At 43.8% G+C, this 26,170-nt stretch overlaps 1 protein-coding gene across 4 annotated transcripts in view; it reads right to left on the bottom strand.

Annotated features, from left to right (window-relative positions):
* Positions 1 to 26,170, bottom strand: part of POLH (DNA polymerase eta) — a 44,339-nt gene that overhangs the window by 16,012 nt on the left and 2,157 nt on the right. For 2 of the 4 annotated variants that reach the window (NM_006502.3, NM_001291970.2), the window contains exons 2-7: positions 22,056 to 22,196; positions 21,371 to 21,505; positions 17,023 to 17,240; positions 6,647 to 6,816; positions 3,421 to 3,524; positions 501 to 620 (exon numbers count right to left, since the gene is read on the bottom strand). In NM_006502.3, coding sequence (NP_006493.1) covers positions 501 to 620; positions 3,421 to 3,524; positions 6,647 to 6,816; positions 17,023 to 17,240; positions 21,371 to 21,505; positions 22,056 to 22,192 — 884 coding nt within the window. In that variant the 5' untranslated portion in view covers positions 22,193 to 22,196. Of the gene's footprint in view, positions 1 to 500; positions 621 to 3,420; positions 3,525 to 6,646; positions 6,817 to 16,859; positions 17,243 to 21,370; positions 21,506 to 22,055; positions 22,197 to 26,170 lie in introns of those variants that run through there. The other 2 variants (NM_001291969.2, XM_047418900.1) reach the window with 2 other exon arrangements.

The following is a 26,170-nucleotide window of genomic DNA, read 5'->3' as shown; positions in this document are numbered from 1 at the left end:
AAAGGAAAACCTTGTCCAAAATTTAGTGTACCGGACCTCTGACGAAACCCCTGCCCTTCTCAGTGAATTCCAGTGCAATATATGGACAATGAGAACACTGGTTTTGTCTTCTAAAGCCAAGTCATCATTTGTATTTTTGGAAAAATGCCAAGCAAGCCACTGATTCATATCCCAAAATGTGTGTGTGCTTGCTAGGGCATTAAACACAAGGATTTTAAGAGAATATAGCATCTCAGCATGCATGAATGATGTAATTAGTATATACTCAGGCATCAAAGTAACAAATCTTATCTATCAACCACCTAGGTACATGGAAAAAACTACTCTAGACTGATGGGCCATAGTGACCCAAGATATTGAAGCAAGAAGAACCAGTGAAATAATCTCAAGAAACAAATGTTAACCTAAAGATAGGTCTGGATTTTACTAGATGGTTTTGTCTATATTTGAATATAGCATCTCCATAAAGGTTATGATTTTAAAAAAAATGAATCACTTACCCATTCTTCTCCCCAAAATGACTCTGGAGCTGGGATTCAGTGAACTGGGTCAGTTCACCCATGTATTCTATCCCTAGGATCTCAATGACAGAGGCCCCTAGCTTTCCTCCAAGACTACGGCTGATAACAAAGGAGACAAAGAATTGATAGGTCACATCATAACTATCTAATTAGCAGCAAACGTAAGACATTCTACTTTGTAAACAGCTCTCCAAAAGGTTCAGGACAAATGAGAGCATATATTCTGGGAATTCAGTTACTCTGGGAGTTAGAATTTGAGAAGAAGATTAAAAATAACATAACCAAAAGGTTAAAGTCCTTGATTAACTATCAAGTAAACTGTATATAAAACGTTCAATTGTACAACGCCTGCTGTCCTGTTTGGGGATTAAAATCCCAAACACAAAATAAATCCCTTCCATGGCTAAAACTTTACTTAAGAATATATAATCTGGCCAGGCACAATGGCTCACACCTATGATCCCACTTTGGGAGGCCAAGGCGGGAAGATTGCTTGAGTCCAGGAGTTTGAGACCAGCCTGGACAACAAAGTAAGACCCTAACTCTACAAAAAAAAATTAAGGCCAGGTGCAGTGGCTCACTCCTGTAGTCCTAGCACTTGGGAGGCAGAAGCGAGTGGATCACCTGAGCCCAGGAGTTTGAGAACAGTCTGAACAACATGGCGAAACCCTGTCTCAACAAAAAAAATACAAAAAAATTAGTCAGGTGTGGTAGTATGTAGCTGTAGTCCCAGCTACTTGGGAGGCTGAGGTGGGAGGATCACTTGAGCCCAGGAGGCAGAGGTTACAGTGAGCCGAGATTGTGCCACTGTACTCCAGCAAATTAACTGGGCATGGTGGCATGTGCCTGTGCTCCCAGCTACTTGGGAGGCTGAGGCAGGAGGATTGCTGGAGCCCAGGAGGTTAAGGCTGCAGTGAGCTCTTAATTGTGCCACTGCACTCCAGCCTGGGAGACAGAGCAAGACTCTGTTTCAAAAAAAAAAAAAAAAAAAAAAAGGAATACATAACCTAAATATAAACAGTCAGCTGGGCACAGTGGTTCATGCCTGTAATCCCAGCACTTTGGGAGGCCAAGGCAGGCAGATCATTGGAGGCCAGGAGTTTGAGACCAGCCTGGCCAAAATAGTAAAACCTCATCTCTCCTAAAAATACAAAAATTAGTCGGGCGTAGTGGCATGCAGCTGTGGTCCCAGCTACTGGGCAGGCTGAGGCAGGAGAATCGCTTGAACCCAGGAGGTGGAGGCTACAGTGAGCCAATATCGCGCCACTGCACTCCAGCCTGGGCAACAGAGCAAGACTTGTCTCAAAAAAAAAAAAGTCAAAATTCTTTAGCCCAGCCTTTGAGGCTCCCTGTAATCTGTCTTTAAACCATCTTTTCAGTCTATTTCCATTATCCTCCTCAATATGGTGCAGCTAAACTACTTTAGGTCCCAGTTCACTGAAAATATCTCATACTTTCCCTTCTTTGTGCTAAAAAGTTCTCCAAATCAGTACTGCTTTGCTGTTTTTGTCTGACTCTCCAAATTTTGCCAAATCTCAAAACAAAATCCCATGCCTTTTTATAAATCCATCTCCAAATACTCCCTTCTTTTGTGAAGTTTGTTCTACTGCACAATTCATTTATCAATTATGCAGTCTTATGACAGCACTTTTACTATTGCTTTTTACCTTGTCCTTTCTACAATATTATAAGTCCTTGTCAAGGCCACACAACTGGTAGGCACAACCTGTTCATTTGACTTGGCTTCTTCTCTAATGCCTACTTTGAGAGCTGAAATTCAGCAGCCCTGAACACCTTGATATGCTATTAGAGGAAAGAAAAGAAGTAAAATTCCTATTTGTTACTTAATAACAGACTTAAATAAAAAAGTCTAGCGGGAAGTTAAACATTTAGCTAAAACTTGGTTTATTTATTTATTTTTTATATATTTTTAAGACGGAGTCTTGCTCTTGTCACCCAGGCTAGAGTGCAAGGGCGCCATTTTGGCTCACTGCAACCTCCGCCTCTTGGGTTCAAGTGATTCTCCTGCCTCAGCCTCCCGAGTAGCTAGGATTACAGGCACCCGCCACCACGCTCAGCTAATTTTTGTATTTTTAGTAGAGACAGGGTTTCACCATGTTGGCCAGGCTGGTCTCGAACTCCTGACTTCAGGTGATCCACCTGCCTCGCCTCCCAAAGTGCTGGGATTACAGGCGTGAGCCACCGCACCCGGCCTATTTATTTATTTTTTATAGAGATGGGGTCTCACTATGTTGCTTAGACTGGTTTTGACCTCCTGGGCTCAAGCGATCCACCCACCCTGGCCTACCAAAAGTGCTGGGACTATAGGTGTGAGCCACCACACCTGGCTCATTTTTTTTTAATTCAGGATTAAGTATCTGCCACAGATAACCCAGAATTGAAGGTTCAATAAAAGTCTCAGCGTGGCTGGACGCAGTGGCTCACGCCTGTAATCCCAACACTTTGGGAGGCTGAGGAGGGCAAATCACCTGAGGTCAAGAGTTTGAGATTTGCCTGGCCAACATGGTGAAACCCTGTCTCTACTAAAATTACAAAAATTAGCCAGGCGTGGTGGTGGGCGCCTGTAATTCCAGCTACTCAGGAGCCTGAGACAGGAGAATTGCTTGAACCTGGGAGGTGGAGGTTGCAGGGAGCTGACACCGTGCCATTGCACTCTAGCGTGGGCAACAAGAGTGAAACTCTGTCTCAAAAAATAAATAAATAAATAAAAATAAAAGTCTCAGCGTGTGTTTCAAAATGTTCTGTGTTGTTTTCCTTCTAACTGCCTGGTATGTATTTCCCCTGGCTCCAGTCCTTAATTAGTAACACAAGAAACTACAACCAGAGAGTTTCTACACATGGATAGAAGTGAAATTTAACATGCTGCCTGAATACTTACATTTTGCGAATGGGCATTTGGCTGAAGAGCTGTGGGACTGACCCATGTGAAACCAGGGTTTGGCGGTTGGGCTTGTTTAGTCCACAGGCCAGTTTTGCCAGGACCTGGAAGCATGCAAAGTATAAAAACCTCATTACTGTCAACCCATCAAAGTTGGTGAATATAAACATACACATAACATACACACACACAGAGCTTAATAGCTGTAACTAATGGTTTCTACATTAAAAACAAAAATAAAACCAGAAACTCAAGACATCTCTAAAACTTGGTATCCCACAACATCCCCAGTGGGAAACATGACGCAATATCATTATCCTCACTGTTCTTCCCACATCTCTCCCATTCTGTTTTCCTCTAGTCATTTTTTCCTTCCCATCTATTCCTACTTCAAGAGGTTTGAAAAGCAGAAACTGCAGGAGAAACTCAAGCAAGATGCATTTCTCAGTATGTCTATACAAAAATGCCGAAACATACTTGTTTTACCCTATCCCATTTACATTTCTTGATTAATAGTTGGTCCATTTTGAGTCCCCAATTTAACACAAATTATCATAATATAGTATCTGTTATAGAGATTGGGCTCAAAACCACCCTCCAATAACAAACACCTTCTTATAAATAGCACTTAAAAAATGAAAAAGCTTAAATCCTTGAGAACTTTTTTTTTTTTTGAGACAGAGTCTTGCTCTGTCACCAGGCTGGAGGGCAGTGGCGTGATCTTGGCTCACTGCAACCGCCCCCGCACCGGGTTCACACAATTCTCCTGCCTCAGCCTTCCAAGTAGCTGGGACTACAGGTGTGCGCCACCATGTCCAGCTAATTTTTGTATTTTTGGTAGATACGGGGTTTCACCATGTTGGCCAGGATGGCCTTGAGATCTGTCGACCCGCCTCAGCCTCCCAAGAGAACTCTTTTTCTTTTTTTTTTTTTGAGACAGAGTTTCACTCTTGTTGCCCAGCCTGGAGTACAATGGCATGATCTCAGCTCACTGCAACCTCCACCTCCTGGGTTCAAGTAATTCTCCTGCCTCAGCCTCCTGAGTAGCTGGGATTACAGGCATGAGCCACCATGCCCAGCTAATTTTGTATTTTTAGTAGAGACGGAGTTTCTCCATATTGGTCAGGCTGGTCTTGAACTCCCAACCTCAGGTGATCCACCAGCCTCGGGATCCCAAAGTGCTGGGATTACAGGTGTGAGCCACCGCACTCGGCCAAGAGAAATCTTTTCTAAGAGTAAAAGCACTTCAATGGTATCATTTTGCAAATTATAAAAATATAATTTTTAATTTTTTAATATAATTTAAAAATTATATTTGTATGTTTTAAAATATAAAATTATTAAATTCATTAGAGAGATTCGTTAAGAACTTCTACTAGGCAACATTTAGTCTGGTTTAAATTACATTGAAGTTATTGTTTCCTTTCCCTTCATCCAACCAGGAAAAAAAAAAACACCAAAAAAATTCAGATGGGTAGTTTGGCAACTTTCCTTGTATTGAAGGGAGGCGGAGAAGGTATCAACCAGGGAAAATCAGCCACTGCCCAATTACTGAGCTTTGGTCAGAAGGGGATGAAAGTCCTGGGCTCTTGCTACACTTTATTCATAATTAATCAGAAAACCAGTTATTCTGCTCCTGGATTGTTGAGAATTGTCTGTGTACCCTAAATTAAAATAGTGGTCTAAATTAATAAAATTGTATTATTCCTTTTATTGCTCTCATAAGAAAACAGGGAATAGGCAAAAGCATAAAATACCCAGGCAATTCCACATAACAAGATAATACAAAAATATTCAGCACGTGGCCGGGCGCGGTGGCTCATGCCTGTAATCCCAGCACTTTGGGAGGCCGAGGTGGGTGAATCACTTGAGGTCAGGAGTTCCAGACCAGCCTGGCCAATATGGTGAAACCCTGTCTCCAGTAAAAATACAAAAATTAGCCAGGCATGGTGGTGTGCACCTGTAATCCCAGCTACTCGGGAGGCTGAGGCAGGAGAATCACCTGAACCCGGGAGGCGGAGGCTGCAGTGAGCTGAGATTGGGCCACTGAACTCCAGCCTGGGCAACAGGGCGAGACTCCATCTCAAAAAAAAAAAAAAAAAAAAAAAATTCAGCAAGTGAAAATAGAAGAAATACATTAATGTATGTAAGTGCAAAGACTAGCCTCCTTTTTCCAACAAACAGTTCAGTCATTAAGGAAATACTGTCATCTCTCAATATCTGCAGGGGATTGGTTCTAAGACCTCCAGTGGATACCAAAACCCCAAGTCCCGTATATAAAATGATCAAGTCCCATAATATAAAATGGTGCAGTATTTGCATATAACCTTTGTATATCCTTCTGTATACTTTAAATCATCTCTAATTTCTTATAACACCTATAACGTACAATGTAAATGCTATATAAATTGTTCTTATAGTGTATGGTTTTTCTTTTCTTTTTCTTTTTTTTTTTTTGAGACGGAGTCTTTGCTCTGTCGCCCAGGCTGGCGTGCAGTGGCACAACTTGGCTCACTGGAACCTCCACCTTCCAGGTTAAAGCAATTCTCCTGCCTCAGCCTCCCGGGTAGCTGGGATTGCAGGTGCACGCCACCATGTCTGGCTAATTTTTTTTTTTTTGTATTTTTAGTAGAGATGGTGTTTTACCATATTGGTCAGGCTGGTCTCGAACTCCTGACCTCAGGTGATCCACCTGCCTCAGCCTCCGAAAGTGCTGGGACTACAGGCGTGAGCCCCCATGCCCGGCCTTCAGCTTGCTTCTTAGGAAAGTACATATTTAATGTCCATTTCCATGTTAAAGAATTACTTATGCTTTGATTTGGGCCTCAACATGAATTTTAAAAGAAATCCATTCAAAGTACATGTGTAACAACTTTTTTTTTTTTTTTTTGGTGACAGTCTCACTGTCGCCCAAGCTGAAGTACAGTAGTATGATTTCGGCTCACGGCAGCTTCAACCTCCTGGACTCAGCTGATCCTCCCATCTCAGCCTCCTGAGTAGCTGGGACTGTAGGTGTACACCACCACGCCTGGCTAATTTTTTGTAGAGACTGGGTTTCAACATGTTTCCCAGGCTGCTCTTCAACTCCTGGGCTCACGCGATCCACTCACATAGGCGTGCGAAACTGCACCCGGCCTATGTGTAATAATTTCAATGTCCCACTGTCCCTACTGTATTTGACTAAGGATATCAATGTTTCTCTTTGAAATCTACTATTAGCCTTCACCTTATTGTGTGAAATTCCAGCTGAACACTGAAAACCAGTCTCCCTCTCTATGGCTGCTCTCATTTCCTCCACAATCACTGCTCCCACGGTGAGCTGCAGGTCTGGAGAGGTGAGGTTATCAATCTGAAGAGAATCGAGCCATTGAAATAAGCCTTGTTTTCGCATCCCCTCTGAAATGAATTAAGAACTCACATTTAGACATTTAAAAAATTATTTATTTAATTGTGCTATCTAATGTAGAAATGCTTAGATTACAGGTATTTAGACATATAAGTTTTCACAAAAAAATGGCAGCCAGCTTAGAAGACCAATTATAAGAGAGCTCAATTTCTCCTTCAGAGTGTTCCCGCAGCTTAGCTTCAGCATAGGCTGAATTTTATAGTGCTAATGTACGACAAATATTTTGTATTAATATCATCTTTCATGAGCAATGATTTTAAAACACATTTTTGGCCAGGCACGGTGGCTCACGCCTGTAATCCCAGCATTTTGGGAGAGCAAGGCGGGTGGATCACCTGAGGTCAGGAGTTCAAGACCAGCCTGTCCAACATGGCAAAACTCCGTCTCTACTAAAAATACAAAACTAGCTGGGCATGGTGGTGCAGGCCTGTAACCACAGCTACTCAGGAGGCTGAGGCAGGAGATTCGCTTGAACCCAGGAGGCGGAGGTTGCAGTGAGCCGAGATTGCGCCACTGCACTCCAGCCTGGGCGACAGAGCAAGACTTCATCTCAAAAATAATAAAAATAAAAAAAAATAATGTAAACACATTTATCTCCCCAGTTCTCTTGAATTTTCTTTCTCCTACTATATTTAATCACTTAAACATCTTCTCCAAGAATATTTTTTTCAATTAGAAAATATTCAGAATTAACTCAAGCTTCAATATAAGCTTTAACATTTACATGTTTTTAGAGGTGGATTCCAGCTGAGTAACTTAAAATCCACTCCGAGGCACTAGATTTATTCCCTTGATAAGCTGTTTTAAGTCAGATGTTGCTTGGGACTTAGGACCTTGAAAATATCTTACTCTGAGTACATACAAATCTTTATCCCCAAATGTACACTCTAATCCCTTAGCTCTACCTCCCTACAGAAGAACTTTTCCTGACTCCCTACAGAAGAACTTTTCTTGAATTTTTAATTATGGTTTCCAACTAAACATAACTAAAATCAAACTTTGTCTTCCTTCTCAAATGTTCTTTCCAACCAACTCCCTATTTCTATTAAGGGCTTAAAATCCACATTAATATTGGCTTATTTTCTCTTTCATTCCTCATTATGCAGCCATTTAGTCAACAAAACCTACTTTAAAATATTTCACATATCCACTGCAACCCACCACCCTATTTTATTCAGGTTTTTTCTTTTTTCTTTTTTTTTTGAGACGAAGTCTCACTCTGTCACCCAGGCTGGAGTGCAGTGGCATGATCTCGCCTCACTGCAAGCTCTGCCTGCCGGGTTCACACCATTCTCCTGCCTCAGCCTCCCGAGTAGCTGGGACTACAGGCGCCTGCCACCACGCCCAGCTAATTTTTTGTATTTTTAGTAGAGATGGGGTTTCACCGTGTCAGCCAGAATGGTCTCGATCTCCTGACCTTGTGATCTGCCCGCTTTGGCCTCCCAAAGTGCTGGGATTACAGGCCTGAGCCACCGCGCCTGGCAAGCTCTTACCCCTTAACTCTGTTCTTCTTTCCTTTGCTTAAACACATCTATACTTTAGGGCTTATGGCAAGTTTATCTATTATGAAGTCCTCTCCTTCAACTATTCTAGCTAGCTTTCTAGTACCACATTAAAGTTCTTTACCTTTTATCTGTAATATGAAGTAGACATAATTGTTTTATTTTTTGAGACAGAGTCACACTCCGTCATCCAGGTTGGAGTGCAGTGGCATGATCTTGGCTCACTAATATATACTAGTATACATTATTTTAAATGATGGATGTTTTAATAGTATTCATTGTTCTTAATATGTGCAAGCCTTGGTGTTTCAGGAAAATAGGTAATTTAAAAAAAAAAAGAAAAATACATGCAAGCCATTGTGCTGAGGAACTTTATTTTATTTATTTAATTATTTATTTTTGAGATAGAATCTCGCTCTGTTGCCCATGCTGGAGTGCAGTGGAGCGATCTCGGCTCACCACAAGCTTCACCTCCTGGGTCCACGCCATTCTCCTGCCTCAGCCTCCCGAGTCCACGTCATTCTCCTGCCTCAGCCTCCCAAGTAGCTGGGACTACAGTCGCCTGCAACCACGCCCGGCTAATTTTTTTGTATTTTTTTTAGTAGGGATGGGGTTTCACCATGTTAGCCAGGATAGTCTTGATCTTCTGACCTCGTGATCCGCCTGCCTTGGCCTCCCAAAGTGCTGGGATTATAGGCATGAGCCACTGCGCCCGGCCAAGGAACTTTATTTTTAAAAACTATCTTTTGGGCCATGTGCGGTGGTTCACGTCTGTAATCTCAGCACTTTGGGAGGCCAAGGCAGGCAGATCACAAGGTCAGGAGTTTGAGACCAGCCTGACCACCATGGTGAAACCCCGTCTCTACTAAAAATACAAATACAAAAATTAGCCAGGCGTGGTGGTGCACACCTGTAATCCCAGCTACTCAGGAGGCTGAGACAGGAGAATCACTTGAACCCGGGAGGCGGAGGTTGCAGTGAGCTGAGTGACACTCCACCTCAAAAAAGAAAAAAAAACTAAAAAAAAAAAACCTGTCTTTTGGCAGGGCATTCTCTGCCTCCTGAGCTCAAGCGATCCTCCTACCTTGGCCTCCCAAGTAGCTAGGACTACAGGCAGATGCCACCACGCCCAGCTAATTTGTATTTTTTGTAGAGACGGGGTTTCACCATGTCACCAAGGATGGTCTCAAACTCCTGGACTCAAGCAATCCCCCCCCATATGCCCCCCACCTCCCCAGCCCCCAGCCTTGGCCTCACAAAGTGATGGGATTACAGGTGTAAACCACCATGTATGGCCATAAGAAGTAGAGCATAATTGTTAAAAGAACATTCTGCAGTCAAGCAGGGTTCAAATATTGGCTTCATAACCTACTGACCATGTGACTTTGGACAAGTTACATAATTCTCTAAGCTTCAATTTCCTTGTCTACAAACTGCACTTCATATAGCTGTTATGAGGATTAAAAGATAGTTTATTATTTTTTATTTTTTTTGAGACGGAGTTGCTCTGTTGCCCAGGCTAGAGTGCAGCTCACTGCAACCTCCACCTCCCAGGTTCAAGCAATTATCCTGCTTCAGCCTCCGGAGTAGCTGGGACTACAGCTGTGAACCTTCAGGCCCAGATAATTTTTGTATTTTTAGTAGAGATGGGGTTTCACCATGTTGGCCAGGCTGGTCTTGAACTCCTGACCTCAAGGGCTCCCAAAGTGCTGGGATTACAGGCGTGAGCCACTGTGCCCGGCCAAAAGGTAGTTTTTAAAAATAAAGTTCCTCAGCACAGTGGCTTGCGCATTTTTTGCTTTTTTTTTAATTATCTGTTTTCCTGAAATACCAAGGCTTGCACATATTAAGAACAATAAATACTATTAAAACATCCATCATTTAAAACAATTTATACTAGTATATATTAGCTTTGGGAAACAAAAATATGAATAATTTACTGTAATTGTATGACTTTCTGGACCTTTTTAAACAGTTAGAGCTAAATTTTCTCTGCTTTAGATTTTTTTCATCATTGCTTTCCCAGATTGGGTAATGTTGCAATCCTGTGGCAATGTAGATTTTTAAATTTAATCCTTTATCTGTATTAACTGAACGGGACCACAGAAGATAAGCAGAATTCCCTTATTTCCCTACAATGCTTTTTACCTTTTCTCTAGTTGATAAGAAAAATCTATAAAATTTTGGTTTTTCTTCAATACCATGAAATGGACTACAGGAAATACTTCAGGTAGTTCTGGTGTTAAATGCCCATGAAAGCTGAGAAAAAACTTTTCTTTCTTTCTTTTTTTTTTTTTTTTTTTTTGAGACGGAGTCTCACTCTGTTGCTAGGCTGGAGTACAGTGGCGCAATCTCAGCTCACTGCAACCTCTGCCTCCTGGGTTCAAGTAATTCTCCTGCCTTACCCTCCCGAAAAGCTAGGATTATAGGCATGCGCCACCACACCCAGCTAATTTTTGTATTTTTAGTAGAGACAGGGTCTCACCATGTTGGCCAGGATGGTCTCAATCTCATGACGTCATGATTCGCTCACCCTGGCCTCTCAAAGTGCTGGGATTACAGGCGTGAGCCACTGTGCCCAGCCAAGAGTTTTTCTTGTTGAATTATCTTGGCACCTTTGTGGAAATGAATTGCCACCACACACACCCCAGCCTGAAAAGTGGGGATCTACTTGTATACTTTCTATTCTATACCATTAATCTACGTATTTTCTCACACCAATACCAAACTTCCCTAGTTACAAATTTATAGTTAAATCTTGAAATCAGGTAGTATGTCTTCCAACTTAGTTCTTTTTCAAAGTTGTTTGGCTACTCCACATTCTTTGCATTTCCATACAAATTTTAGAATCAGTTTGTCAATTTCTGTGGGATTTTGGAAGGGACTGCAATGAATCTATACGTCAATTTGGGGAGAATTGAGCACTAGTAAGATTTAGTCTTTTGATACATGAGGATAGTATAATCTTTCCATTGAATTTTATAATCTTTAATAATAATTATATGATCATTATAAGATAAAGCCAGACACAGTGGCACATGCCGATAGTTCCAGCTACTTGGAAGCCTCAAGTGGGAGGATCACTTGAGCATGAGTTCACAGGTAACATGGGCAACACAGTGAGACCCCATCTCAAAAATAATCATTATAAAACTGTTTTGTAAGGCCAGGTGCAGTGGCTCACGCCTATAATCCTGGCACTTTGGGACGCTGAAGTGGGAAAATTGCTTGAGGCCAGGAACTCATCAAGACCAGCCCGGGCAACATAGTGAGACCATGTCTCTGTGTTTTAAAATAATAAAGAAATGAATTAAGAAAAAACAAAGGGAAAAGAAAAGGCCCTTAGCTAACAAACCAGTTACAAAATGGCAATGATGGGAAAGTTTCACCTTGACAATTTCTGAGAAGTACTTTAAGTAAATCTTACTACTTAAACTTTACACACAAATAACTATTTTAGAAAATACAAGGCCAGGCGTAGTGGCTGACGCCTGTAATCCCAGCACTTTGGGAGACCAAGGCGGGCAGATCACGAGGTCAGGAGATCGAGACCATGCTGGCTAACACGGTGAAACCCCGTCTCTACTAAAAAAAATACAAAAAAATTAGCCGGGCGTGGTGGCGGCCAACAGTAGTCCCAGCTACTCGGGAGGCTGAGGCAGGAGAATGGCGTGAACCCGGGAGGTGGAGATTGCAGTGAGCCGAGATTGCACCACTGCACTCCAGCCTGGGCGACAGAGCGAGAAAGAGACTCCCTCTCCAAAAAAAAAAAAAAAAAAGAAGATACAAAGCTGCAAATGCAGGAGGGCTGAGCATGATTGCTAGCTCTTATAGGAGGCAAGATGGAAAAGTTGATGGAAAGCTCAGTATCAAGGTATTACAAATACCTCGCCTCTTTTCTTAGATTTGAAATATATTGTATCCATGAAAAATGATTTCTGGAAGGTTATATCCACTTAGATCAGCTAATTTCTGTTATCAGGTTTTTGTGGTTGCACACATCAAAGATTCAGGAATATGATATGAAATATTTCCTAGACATTGCACTGTTCTGAACATTACATATAATAAGATGCTGGCACTGCATCTGGGAGCTTAATATTTAAGTTGGACACACTAATGCAACAGACACAAGACATACAGAAATAGACCTCTCTATAAACATGGGCATTTTTAATAAAAAAATGTACATAGGTAAGAAAAGTAAGTGTAGAAGAAAGAGGAACACGTCCATCTGAGTTAACATTCAACTACCAAGGAAGGTATATACCATCTTCAGCCAGAGATAATAGAATGCTTCAACAATGCTCTGCAGCAAAAACCAATATAATGTGTAAGACTAGTTCTAATTCTGAGGTATGTGGATTTCAGAGGGTTTGTGAATCTCCTGAAAACTGCATGCAAAATTGTCTTATGTATAGATACAAATTTTTCGGAGGCCAGCAAGGGTCTATAGCTTTCAACAAATTTTTAAGAGTATGTAATTCTCAAATAAACTTTAAAGAGCCACAAATTCAAGGCATTATAAAACCAATTCCAAATATTTAAAAAAAAAAAAAAAATCAGGCTGGGTGCGGTGGCTCATGCCTGTAATCCCAGCACTTTGGGAGGCCAAGGCAGATGGATAACTTGATGCCAGGAGTTTGAGACCAGCCTGACCAACATGGCGAAACCCCGTCTCTACTAAAAATACAAAACTTAGCCAGCATGGTGGCATATGCCTATAATCCCAGCTACTCAGGAGGTTGAGGCATGAGGATCACTTGAACCCTGGAGGTGGAGGCTGCAGTGTGCCAAGATCTCACAACTGCATTCCAGCCTGGGTGACACCAAAAAAATCAGTGTTGCATATGGAAACTAAAAAAAAAGAAAGTTATGTAATAAGATGTGGTACAGAAAGGTAAGACCAAAGAACACCTTTCTTATTATGATAATTAAATTTCTGACTCTGGTCCCAGAATAATAAAATATCAAATATCAAAAGCTTATGTACCATGATTTTGCTTCCTCTATAAGTGGCACATCTTTATTGTCCATTATATTTTGTCCAAAGAACTAAAGGATCTGCAGCCTCTAGCTTGACATACTTTGCATTATCAGGATCAGAAAATAAAATAATTCCTTAAGTCACAAGCTTCCCTGGGCAGTTTTACTACTACTCTTCTGCACAACACATTAAAGGCATTTTATGCAATTGTTCAGCAGCAAAAGCAAAGTTTACATGTTACATCTTTTTTTTTTTTTTCTTTTTTTTTTTTGAGACAGAGTCTTGCTCTGTCGCCACCCAGGCTGGAGTACAGTGGCGCAATCTCGGCTCACTGCACCCTCCGCCTCCTGGACTCAAGTGATTCTCCTGTCTCAGCCTCCCAAGTAGCTGGGATTACAGGCACCTGCCACTGCGCCCGGCTAATTTTTGTATTTTTAGTAGAGATGGGGTTTCGCCATGTTGGCCAGACTGGTCTTGAACTCCTGACCTCAGGTGATTCACCTGCCTTGGCCTCCCAAAGTGCTGGGATTACAGGTGTGAGCCACCACACCCAGCCAAAACATGAAACATGCAGAATTATTTGCTCTGGGGGGATACAACTGAATTCCACTTTCATAATATTCAATTAAAAAAAAGACCTCATTCTGGCAGAGGTTACAATGAGCCGAGATTGCGCCACTGCACTCCAGCCTGGGTGACAGAGTGGCTCTGTCTCAAAGAAAAACAAAAACCAAAACAAAAAAAAAACCCTCATTCTTATGCAAATTCTTAGACCTGGAATCTAGGACTATCATAATCTAACATTATCACAAAAGCAAGTTTTTTGTTTTTTTTTTTTTAAGATGGAGTCTTGCTCTGTTGCCGAGGCTGGAGTGCAGTGGTACGATCTCAGCTCACTGCATCCTCCTCCTTCCGGGTTTAAGGAATTTTCTGCTTCAGCCTCCCGAATAGCTGGGATTACAGGCACATGCTACCATGCCCAGCTAGTTTTTTTGTATTTTCGGTAAAGACGAAGTTTCACCATCTTGGCCAGGCTGGTCTTGAACTCCTGACCTCATGATCCACCCACCTCGGCCTCCCAAAGTGCTTGGATTACAGGTGTGAGCCACCGCACCCAGCCACAAAAGCAAGTTTTTATTGTCCTAATTCTATTCAAATCTAAGAAAAAAAAATTAACCTTCAAGTACATGTTATTAAAACACTTCATACAGATTATATCACAATTTTTTTTAGATAAAGTAAATAAAAATGAATTCATTAAAAAAACCCATTTATCATTTCCCAACACATCAATAATCAAGTAGAAAATGAAAAAAATATATAAAAGCCTGGGCAACATAGTGAGACCCTGTCTCTACAAAAAATTTAAAAATTAGCCAGGCATGATGGCACATACTTGTAGTTCTAGCTACTCTGGAGGCTGAGGTGGGAGGATTGTTTGAGCCCAGGAGTTCAAGGCTGCAGTGAGCCATAATTACACACCTGTGAATAGCGACTGATAGCCACTGCACTCCAGCCTGGGCAACATAGTGAGACTTCCATCTCAAAAAAAAAAAAAAGACAAGGAACTAATAATTAGGATAGGATATACAAGGAACTCTTGCAAATCAAAAAATAAATAATTTTACCATTTTTCCATGGAAAAATGGGCAAAGATTATAAATAAGTAAATCACAGAAGCAGAAACTCAGCTGGCTTACAAGTGTATGAAGAGATCTTCAATCTCAATTAGTGATCAGAGAAATGTAAATTAAAGCAAAACAAACAAACATTATATTGGCAAATATTTTTAAACATTAGATGATACCAGTTGTTGTTGAGAATATGGGGGAAACAGGAACTTTTATGTACTGCTAGGGGGAATGTAAACTGTTAGAGCAGGACATTAGAAGCAACCAATGAATTTGTCACTAGGGAAAATGGTCTGTAACCATGGTGGATCCATATCATGGATTACGCTGCAAGTAACAGCCATCGAAGCCATCAATTACAAATAAATACAGCCACATGGACACATCTCTAAGGTCATTACTGAAGGAAAATTAAGAAAAAGAATGAAGGCCGGGCACGGTGGCTCACACCTGTAATCCCAGCACTTTGGGAGGCCGAGGCGGGCGGATCACAAGGTCAGGAGATCGAGACCATCTTGGCTAACACGGTGAAACCCTGTCTCTACTAAAAATACAAAAAAATTAGCCGGGCGCGGTGGCGGGCGCCCGTAATCCCAGCTACTCAGGAGGCTGAGGCAGGAGAATGGCGTGAACCCGGGAGGCGGAGCTTGCAGTGAGCCGAGATAGCGCCACTGCAGTCCGGCCTGGGCGAAAGAGTGAGACTCCGTCTCAAAAAAAAAAAAAGAAAAAGAATGAGATCTATAATAGCACAAAATCATCTTGTAATTAAAAAGCACATAGACAAAGCAATACTGAGTAACTTATAAAGATATAGGCCAGGTACAGTGGCTTACACCTGTAATGCCAGCACTTTGGGAGGCCAAGGCAGGTGGATCATTTGAGGTCAGGAGTTCCAGACCTGCCTGGCCAACATGGTGAAACCCCATCTCTACTAAAAATACAAAAATTAGCAGCGTGTAGTGGATACATGCCTGTAATCCCAGCTACTTGGGAGGCTGGGGCAGGAGAACTGCTTGAACCCTGGAGGCGGAGGTTGCAGCGAGCTGAGATCATGCCACTGCACTCCAGCCAGGGCGACAGAGTGACGCTCCATCTCAAAATAAAGAAATGAAATGAAATGAAATGAAAAGGAAAGAAAGAAAAAAGAAAGAAAGAAAGAAAGGGAAAGAAAGAAAAGAAAGGAAGGGAGGAAGGAAGGAAAGAAGGAAGGAAGGAAAGACAGACATCTAAGATATATCAAATGTATCTGTGGGTACAAGAGGGTAGGTGCGGCACAGAGGGAGTGGGAAAATCACTATAAAGGGTAAAAGTAGCAAAATACAATGAGAGGGGCCTTGTGCAGCCCATATGTAATAATGTGCTAAGAAGTGATTAGAAATTTTGAATCACTCAACTCCCTATACCTGAGGCCCCCCTTTAAAAAGCTCACCCTTCTTATATATGAAGAAACCAAGACACTAAGTTATAATAATATAAATTAAGCTACCAATGACAAAGTGCTCAGTCAGCCTTCTATTGATTTTTTTGTTTTTTGAGACGGAGTCTCCCTCTGTAGCCTAGGCTGGAGTGCAGTGGCGAGATCTCGGCTCACCTCAATCTCCACCTCCTGGGTCCTGGTTCAAGCAAATCTCCTGCCTCAGCCTCCCAAGTAGCTGGGATTACAGGCACGCGCCACCATGCCCAGCTAATTTTTGTATTTTTAGTAGAGATGGGGTTTCACCATGCTGGCCAGGTTGGTCTTGAACTCCTGACCTCATGATCCACCCACCTCGGCCTCCCAAAGTGCTGGGATTAGAAGCGTGAATCACCGCGCCAGGTCTCTGCCTTCTATTGATAACACTAACCTGCCCTAGTTATATCTAAAGAGAAATTTACTTTCATACAGATTTCACAGCTTCTCAACAGCCATATACCTGGAAAGATAAGAAAATTTGTATATCCTTCCATGTGAGTCCTTGTGATTCATTCAGGCTGTAGTTTAAGTTTCCTTTCAATTATTCCAAGGAGAATCAGCATGACCAAGCAAAGCAGGTTCCAAAGGCAGGAAGCAGAAGCAGTATGATGCTATGGAAGTACCTTTCTGAACAGTCTCTTCTGCCGTTGTAGGGCCTTGGGGCAACCCTTCAATGTAAGTGCTTGGCAACAAGTCTGCCGAGATAGGCTGACCTTGTAGCTTTTGTAGTCTCTCTTGTACAGCACTGGTCAGATCTACGTAAGCCTCATCAATGCTGGCACGTTCAATCACAGCAAAACGAGACATTATCTCCATCACTTCAACACTGGCTTCCCGGTACCTAAGAAGTATAAGGATCATTCATGCAGGCAATAAACAGAGGCAACCTTGAGATTGTCTGCTCCACTCCCACCCTGCCATAATGAACAATAATACACGTAATCAAGAGACATGTGGCTTAACAGAGACTAGACAATAGTAACTGAAAGGGTCAATCGGCAGGCAGATGGTCAATAATAGAAGCATGGAAAAGGAAGAATCACGGAGGCAAACATTTTTAGCACAATGCCAGAACTACCAAGGCAGAAAGCATTCAGACTATGAACACGTCTATATGACAAGGAACTCTCTAAAAAATAAAGAAATGCCTCAAATTTGTGTATTACTATGATCACCTATTCCTTTTATTTTCATATATCCACCAAGAAATCTTCTGCTTCTAATTTTGTCTTCAAAAAAAGGGTAATTTACATGCAACACTGCACTGATCAGTGAACCAGAGTATATGGTCTTCCCCAGGATAGTATTTCTCACCATAAATTAACAAACTGGCATATGGATTTTATACTTCAGTCAACGGTGAGTTTGGTTAACATGTGAACTGGTCATCACCACATACACACACATGCCTTAACCAACCATTTACGGATATACTAATATTCAAATGATCAAGTTGAAGATAAGCACCTAGAATGTGGTGATGTGTCTGGGCAGGCAGACAACCTTCCTCAGGGTATACATACCAATCTCATCGTATGTCTTCTATTCAAACTTTAATAAGCAGCTCTTCTGGCTCTATACCTAGTTTTCTACGACAATATACAGATATTTTCTTTTTTTTCTTGTTTTTCGAGATGAAGTCTCGCTCTTGTCTCCCAGGCTGGAGTGCAATAGTGGCATCTCGCCTCACTGCAACCTCCACCTCCCGGGTTCAAGCAATTCTCCTGCCTCAGCCTCCCAAGTAGCTGGGATTACAGGCGCCTGCCACCACGCCTGGTGAATTTTTTTGTATTTTTAGTAGAGACAGGGTTTCACCATGTTGGCCAGGCTGATCTCGAATTCCTGACCTCAGGTGATCCACCCACCTCGGCCTCCCCAAGTGCTGGGATTACCGGCGTGAGCCACCACATCCGGCCAATATACAGATATTTGCTTTCCTTTGGCTTGGACCTGCTTTGTAGTGTCCAGTTCTTTGTTCCTATTGACTTTATATTTACCATAAAAATGAAAACATCGGTACCTCTTCACCATGACACCCATAAAAACTAATATAATTATTGTTCTAAAACACTCTCAAATTAGAGAATTAGAGAAATACTTGACTTTTTTTTTTTTTAAATCATTATTTGAACTAGGAAGAGGATAGGCCTCAAAGAAAATAAAGAGCAAGATCGGGCGCAGCAGTTCACACCTGTAATCCCAGCACTTTGGGAGGCAGAGGTGGGTGGATCACCTGAGGTCAGGAGTTCGAGACCAGCCTGACCAACATGGAGAAACCCCATTTCTACTAAAAATATAAAATTAGCCAGCACGGTGGCACATGACTGTAATCCCAGCTACTCGGGAGGCTGAGGCAGGAGAATCACTTGAATCCAAGAGATGGAGGTTGTGGTGAGCCGAGATTGCACCATTGCACCCTAGCCTGGGCAACAAGAGTGAAACTCCGTCCCCCACCCACAAAAAAAAAAAAAAAAAGAAAAGAAAGAGCAATATACTCATACACACAGCCAGAAAAGGATACTTATAATATTGTGAAATATATATTCGGTCTTCATCCCAGTTTCCTGGCATACAACTCCAAAAATCCTTGGAATCACCCAAGTTTTGTCTTTTTGTATGCTAATGTTAACTAATAGCTTCAGGATAGGGCAGGTCACCAAAAAGACCACGGCATAATTAGAGGGTTGGGACTTTTGGCCCCACCCCCTCAACTTCTGGGGAGGGGAGAGGAAGAGAGATACTGCAGGTCAAGTTGATTACCCATAGCCAATGGTTTAATCAGTCATGAGTACATAACGGAGCCTCCCTAAAAACCCAAGAGGACAGGGTCCGGAGAGGTTCCAAATAGCTGTAATAGTAGAGATTCCTGGAGGGTGGCTCACCCAGGGAGGGCATGAAAGCTCCGCACCCCTTCTCACATGCCTTGCTCTATATATCTCTTCATCTTCATCTTCTTTTTGACAGGATCTCACTGTTGCCCAGGCTGCATGCAGTGGTTTGATCATGACTCTCTGGAACCACAATCTCCTGGGCTCAAGCGACCCTCCCACCTCAGCTTCCTGAGTAGCTGGAACTAGAGCTGCACAACACCATGTCTAGCTAAATTTTTTTGTTTTTGTTTTTGTTTTAATTTTGGTAGAGACGAGGTCTTACTATGTTGCCCAGGCTGGTCTCAAACTTCTGAGCTCAAGCAATCCTCCTGTCTCAGCCTCCCAAAGTGCTAGGATTACAGGCGTGAGCCACCATGCCCAACCTATCTGTATCCTTCGTAATATCCCTTATAATAAACATAAGTAAGTGTTCTCCTGAGTTCTGTGAGTCGCTTCAGCAAATTAATCAAATCCAAAGAGGGGGTTGCAGGAACCCCAACTTAAAGCCAGCTGTTCAGACGTTCTAAAGGCCTGGACTTGTGATGGAAAGGAAGGAGGGGGTGTTCTTGTGGTATTGAGCCCTCAACATGTGGAATCTGATGCCATCTCCAGGTAGACAGTGTTGGAATTGAGTGCGAGGACATGCAGCTGGTGTCTGCTGATTGGTGTGTGGGGAAATACTTCCACACCTTTGGTCACAGATGTCTTCTGTGTTGATTGTTCTTGTGGTGTGAGAGGAGAGGAAAACCATAGTTTGAGTTTTTCTAAAACAATACTCTATTTCAGTGCTTCCTCACAGCCTCTTGAGCAAATCACTGCAAGGTATTTTTAAGAGTATTTGGAAAACTTAATCTTCAGTCAAGTCTATCTTCTTTTCTAGCAATAATTCCAATGTGGGTCTGTATGCCACTCTACCTTTAGACTTCTAATTCATAGAATTAGAATTAGAATTCAGAAGTATGTCAGGTCCTAAGTCAAAGCATGATTCCTATACCACAACACATAGTATAGTGTACCTTGAGAACATAGATACTAGAATCTTAAAAAACAGATGTGAATCCTCAGTCTTTCACTTAGCTGTCTGAACTTTTCTCTTTCTTGAGACAGGGTCTCACTCTGTCACCCAGACCGGAGTGCAGTGGTGTGATCTGGGCCCACTGCAACCTCTGCCTCCCAGGCTCAAGCAATCCTCTCAACTCAGCTTCCTGAGTAGCCGGGACTGCAAGTGTGTGCCACCATGCCTGGCTAATTTTTGTATTTTCTGTTAGAGATGGGGTTTCCCCATGTTGCCCAGGCTGGTCCCTATGTTGCCCAGGCTGGTGTCCTGGACTCAAGTGATCTGCCCGCCTCAGCCTCCCTAAATGCTAGGATTACAGGCATGAGCCACCATCCCCAGCCTAACTTAAATTATTTAACTTCTCTGAACTTGATTCCTTATCTGTGAAGGGGGAGTAATATTAGTACCTACCTTATAACAATGTCAGATTTAATAGAGATATTGCCTATAGAGAGCTTAACACTGTGCCTGGCATGTGATAATATGTTTAATACATATTAGCTGTTAGGATTAAAGGCTGGGGTTTGTGCCTACCTCTGACTTAGCTATGCTGATTCATATCCCCCATTCCAAGGTGAAACTTCTAATATTTGCGGAGAGATAGCTTAATCTAAAAACAGAGAAATCTCCCTTGATATTGTTCAATTATAGCAACTAATTCCTGATATTGTACTACAATGTCAGTTTGACTCAGCCTTTCCTGGAAAAATTCTCAGTTTCACAGTCAATTTTTCAAATACTTTAGATTTTTGGATGGAGAACATGGGAATTGGTATTAAGTCTGAATTTAACAACCAATTTTGAACAATTAAGGAACTGAATAGATATCAAAGGCAGCAACTCTTATATGGTATAATGGTTTTGAACTGTCCCCAAAACACAATATTAAAATCTGTTTTTCATTTCACAGAGACAAGATGGCTAACCAAAAAGAATTTTTTCCGGTGTTATTTACATGGAACAAATTCAAAACACCAGTTCCTAGCCTCATGGAGTATTATTTTCGACTCCTTTATGTCTCCTTAAATAATGTTTTTTTCTTACTTGGTGAGGTTAGCTTTCCCACGGGACTCACGAACTTGTGCCAGTAGAAGATCTGGACATAACTTCTTAGCATCATCTGCCCACATACTTCTAGTGACTCCAAATGCACGAGCTTCATAACTCACTGCAATTATTCTAAGGTTAGAAAAAAAAGGAAACAGAAAACATATTATATGATCACAAGCAAAAACAAGTAACATTTAACACAAGTAATCTATAAACATATTAGAAACTTTTTGACCACAGATGCCATCATTCAATCCAAAACAAAGCAGTTCAGAAATCTCAAAAATAGGGCCAGGCACAGCAGCTCATGCTGGCAATTCCTGTACTTTGGGAGGCCAAGGCAGAAGGACTGCTTGAGGCCGGGAGTTCAAGACCTGCTTGGGCAATATAGTGAGCCCTGCCCCCCCAACCAATCCCCATCTCTACCCACCCCCCAAAAAATAAAATCAGCTTGGCATGGTGGGGCGCTCCTGTAGTTCTAACTATTTGGGAGACTGAAGAGGGATGATCACTTGAGCCCAGGTCAAAGCTGCTGTGAGCTGATGGTGCCACTGCGCTCTGGATGGGACAACAGAGAAAGGCCCTGTCACCACCACCACCACCACCACAACAACAAAGGACCTGCCACAGTGCCACTGTGTTACCATTGAATAGTTGTGACAATAACAATGATACATACCCACCACCCTTCCATGATTTGTACTGTACAACTGCACAAGGTTTATTCCTCAAATGAGGATTTTGCCGCTGCTCCACTTGAACAAAAAAACAGTCCATGTCCACGAGAGCAACCACTCGATCCTGTCCAGTAGCCATTTTTCTGTAACACAACATTTTATGGACAGTTAGAAAAACACCTAATCCAAAATGCCAGGGAAAACTGTAATTCCATTCTTTCACTGATGAGTTACCATGAGCATGGGAGCATGGAAACTAACAAGAATGAAATAGGCATTTAAATATACAGGTTGAGTATCCCTTATCTGAAATGGCTGGGATCCAAAGTGCTTGAGATTTTGCATTTTTTTCAAATTTTGCAATATTTGCATTATAATCACCAGTTAAGCATCCGTAATCCAAAAATCCTAAACCTACAATGCTCTAATAAACATTTCCTTTGAATGCTGTGTTGGTGCAAAAAATTTTTTGGATTTTGGAAGATTTCAAATTTCAGATTAGGGATACCCTGAGTGGAAAAAACAGTTTTTAAGATTCTTTCACTCGATCTTGAGAGGAGGTCGCGGCGCCGGAGGCCCTAGAAGGCTCGAAGGCGCCGCGGGCTGGGGTCGGTGGCTTAGGGAGCCCGTCCGGCCATGGTGGCCGCGGGTGGTGGTTGGCGCGGCTGCGCTGCGGCCCGGGGCAGTGCGGAGCCGGGACAGTCGCGGCGCTGACGCCCGCGGGCCCCAGCTGCAGATATGAAGCGGAGCCGCTGCCGCGACCGACCGCAGCCGCCGCCGCCCGACCGCCGGGAGGATGGAGTTCAGCGGGCAGCAGAGCTGTCTCAGTCTTTGCCGCCGCGCCGGCGAGCGCCGCCCGGGAGGCAGCGGCTGGAGGAGCGGACGGGCCCCGCGGGCCCGAGGGCAAGGAGCAGCCGCCTGCCTTGGCCTCCCAAAGTGCCGAGATTGCAGCCTCTGCCCGGCCGCCACCCCGTCTGGGAAGTGAGGAGTGTCTCTGCCTGGCCGCCCATCGTCTGGGATGTGAGGAGCCCCTCTGCCTGGCTGCCCAGTCTGGAAAGTGAGGAGCGTCTCCGCCCGGCCGCCATCCCATCTAGGAAGTGAGGAGCGCCTCTTCCCAGCCGCCATCACATCTAGGAAGTGAGGAGCGTCTCTGCCCGCCCGCCCATCGTCTGAGATGTGGGGAGCGCCTCTGCCCCGCCGCCCCATCTGGGATGTGAGGAGCGCCTCTGCCCTGCCGAGACCCCGTCTGGGAGGTGAGGAGCGTCTCTGCCCGGCTGCCCCGTCTGAGAAGTGAGGAGACCCTCTGCCTGGCAACCACCCCGTCTGAGAAGTGAGGAGCCCCTCCGCCCGGCAGCTGCCCCGTCTGAGAAGTGAGGAGCCTCTCCGCCCGGCAGCCACCCCATCTGGGAAGTGAGGAGCGTCTCCGCCCGGCAGCCACCCCGTCCGGGAGGGAGGTGGGGGGGGGTCAGCCCCCCGCCCGGCCAGCCGCCCCATCCGGGAGGGAGGTGGGGGGGTCAGCCCCCCGCCTGGCCAGCCGTGCCGTCCGGGAGGGAGGTGGGGGGGTCAGCCCTCCGCCCGGCCAGCCGCCCCGTCTGGGAGGTGAGGGGCGCCTCTGCCCGGCCGCCCCTACTGGGAAGTGAGGAGCCCCTCTGCCCGGCCAGCCGCCCAGTCCGGGAGGGAGGTGGGGGGGTCGGCCCCCCGCCCGGCCAGCCGCCCCGTCCGGGAGGGAGGTGGGGGTGTCGGCCCCCCGCCCGGCCAGCCGCCCAGTCCGGGAGGGAGGTGGGGGGGTCAGCCCCCCTGCCCGGCCAGCCGCCCCGTCCGGGAGGTGAGGGGCGCCTCTGCCCGGCCGCCCCTACTGGGAAGTGAGGAGCCCCTCTGCCCGGCCAGCCGCCCCGTCCGGGAGGGAGGTTGGGGGGTCAGCCCCCCGCCCGGCCAGCCGCCCCGTCCGGGAGGTGAGGGGCGCCTCTGCCCGGCCGCCCCTACTGGGAAGTGAGGAGCCCCTCTGCCCGGCCACCACCCCGTCTGGGAGGTGTGCCCAACAGCTCATTGAGAACGGGCCATGATGACAATGGCGGCTTTGTGGAATAGAAAGGCGGGAAAGGTGGGGAAAAGATTGAGAAATCGGATGGTTGCCGTGTCTGTGTAGAAAGAAGTAGACATGGGAGACTTTTCATTTTGTTCTGCACTAAGAAAAATTCCTCTGCCTTGGGATCCTGTTGATCTGTGACCTTACCCCCAACCCTGTGCTCTCTGAAACATGTGCTGTGTCCACTCAGGGTTAAATGGATTAAGGGCGGTGTAAGATGTGCTTTGTTAAACAGATGCTTGAAGGCAGCATGCTCGTTAAGAGTCATCACCAATCCCTGATCTCAAGTAATCAGGGACACAAACACTGCGGAAGGCCGCAGGGTCCTCTGCCTAGGAAAACCAGAGACCTTTGTTCACTTGTTTATCTGCTGACCTTCCCTCCACTATTGTCCCATGACCCTGCCAAATCCCCCTCTGTGAGAAACACCCAAGAATTATCAATAAAAAAATAAATTTAAAAAAAAAAAAAAAAGATTCTTTCACTCAACAACAATCAATAAGGTAGACTTCTGTGACCAAATGTGTGAGGATTTCTCCCCACCAACAAACAAGCAATCAATTCTGCAGCAGACACCAAGTGGGTATCCTCCAATTCGAGTCTGACATTATCTACCTGGAGAAAGCGTCAGATCTCACAGGTTGATGGCTCAGTCCCACAAGACTGCCCCCTACTTCTGATGCCAATCACAAGCCACAGGTTGTTTTACCTGTGCTTCTAACTGACTGGATATAAATTGGGAATCTCATGAGCCCCTCTTTGGGTTCAGTTAATTTGCCAGAGTGGCTCACAGAACTCAGGTAATCAAATTTACTAGTTTATTATAAAGGATATACAGATGAAGAGATACACATGGCAAGGCATGCCCTCCCTGGGAACACCACTCTCCAGGAACTTCCTTTTGCTCCTATCCAGCAGCTCTTCGAACCCTCTCCTCTTGGGCCTTTTATGGAAACTTCATTGGATAGGCATGACTGACATCCGTGTAGAAATGTGACTGGACAAAAAAGATATGATCTAATACTAATAGACTGGGGAAACCCAGCAAGGCCTGTCCAGATTCTTCCTGGCCTCTCTGGGTAGCATTCCTTTCTCCAGGGTATGGGGTAGGAACTCTTCTGAAATGAAAGTCTTATGACCCATAATCAGAAAGGCAGGGGAAGATTAGAGTCCTGCTTTGGGCAGGTGAAAGGAGGGCAGAAGGCCAGAGAGAGATTCTGTTTTCTGAGGCTTGCTTCAAGAGCTCCAACATTATAACGAAAGCTAGGGGAGTTATGAGCTAGGAACCGTGGACAAAAACTAACATACATATATCACAATATCACAGATACTCAACCTGTACTGCTGGCATAAGGATAAATTAGTACAATTTTATGAAGGCAATAGGTATTAAAAGCTTTAAAAATACTTATCCTTAAAAGAACTAACCACAAAATACAAACATAGCCAATTGGCACATAAAAATAGGCTCACCATCATTAGTCATGGGGAAATGGAAATTAAAATGCACATCACCAGGGGAAGAGAACCAATACGGAATCAGTTGACAGACAAATCTCAAGTATAAATTCAGAGAAAAGAGAAGGAGAAAATAATATATAACATCATAGCATTCATGAAAAATGTCAACCTTTTACTCTGAAATACTTTTAGACTTACAGAAAATCGCAAAAATGGTAGAGTTCTCCTACTCCCAGTTTCCTGATGTTAACATCTTACTTAACACAATTACCAAAATTTAAAAATGAACATTGGCATATTATTAACTACATACTTTACTGCCCCCCAATCTGTGGCATTTCCTCGGTTGTTCCTTGTTTTTCATGACCATGACACTTTTTTTTTTTTGAGACAAAGTCTCGCTCTTGTCCCCCCGCCAGGCTGCTTTAAATACTACTGATATTTGACTTCCACAACTATATATACTAACTTAATTGGTATGGGTATGACCTGGGCATGAGTTTTTTGTTGTTGTTGTTGTTTTTGAGTTAGAGTTTCGTTCTCGTTGCGCAGGCTGGAGTGCAATGGCAC

Source organism: Homo sapiens, chromosome 6, assembly GCF_000001405.40.
Source record: "Homo sapiens chromosome 6, GRCh38.p14 Primary Assembly".
NCBI lineage: Eukaryota > Metazoa > Chordata > Mammalia > Primates > Hominidae > Homo > Homo sapiens.
This window is presented reverse-complemented; position numbering and strand designations above follow the sequence as displayed.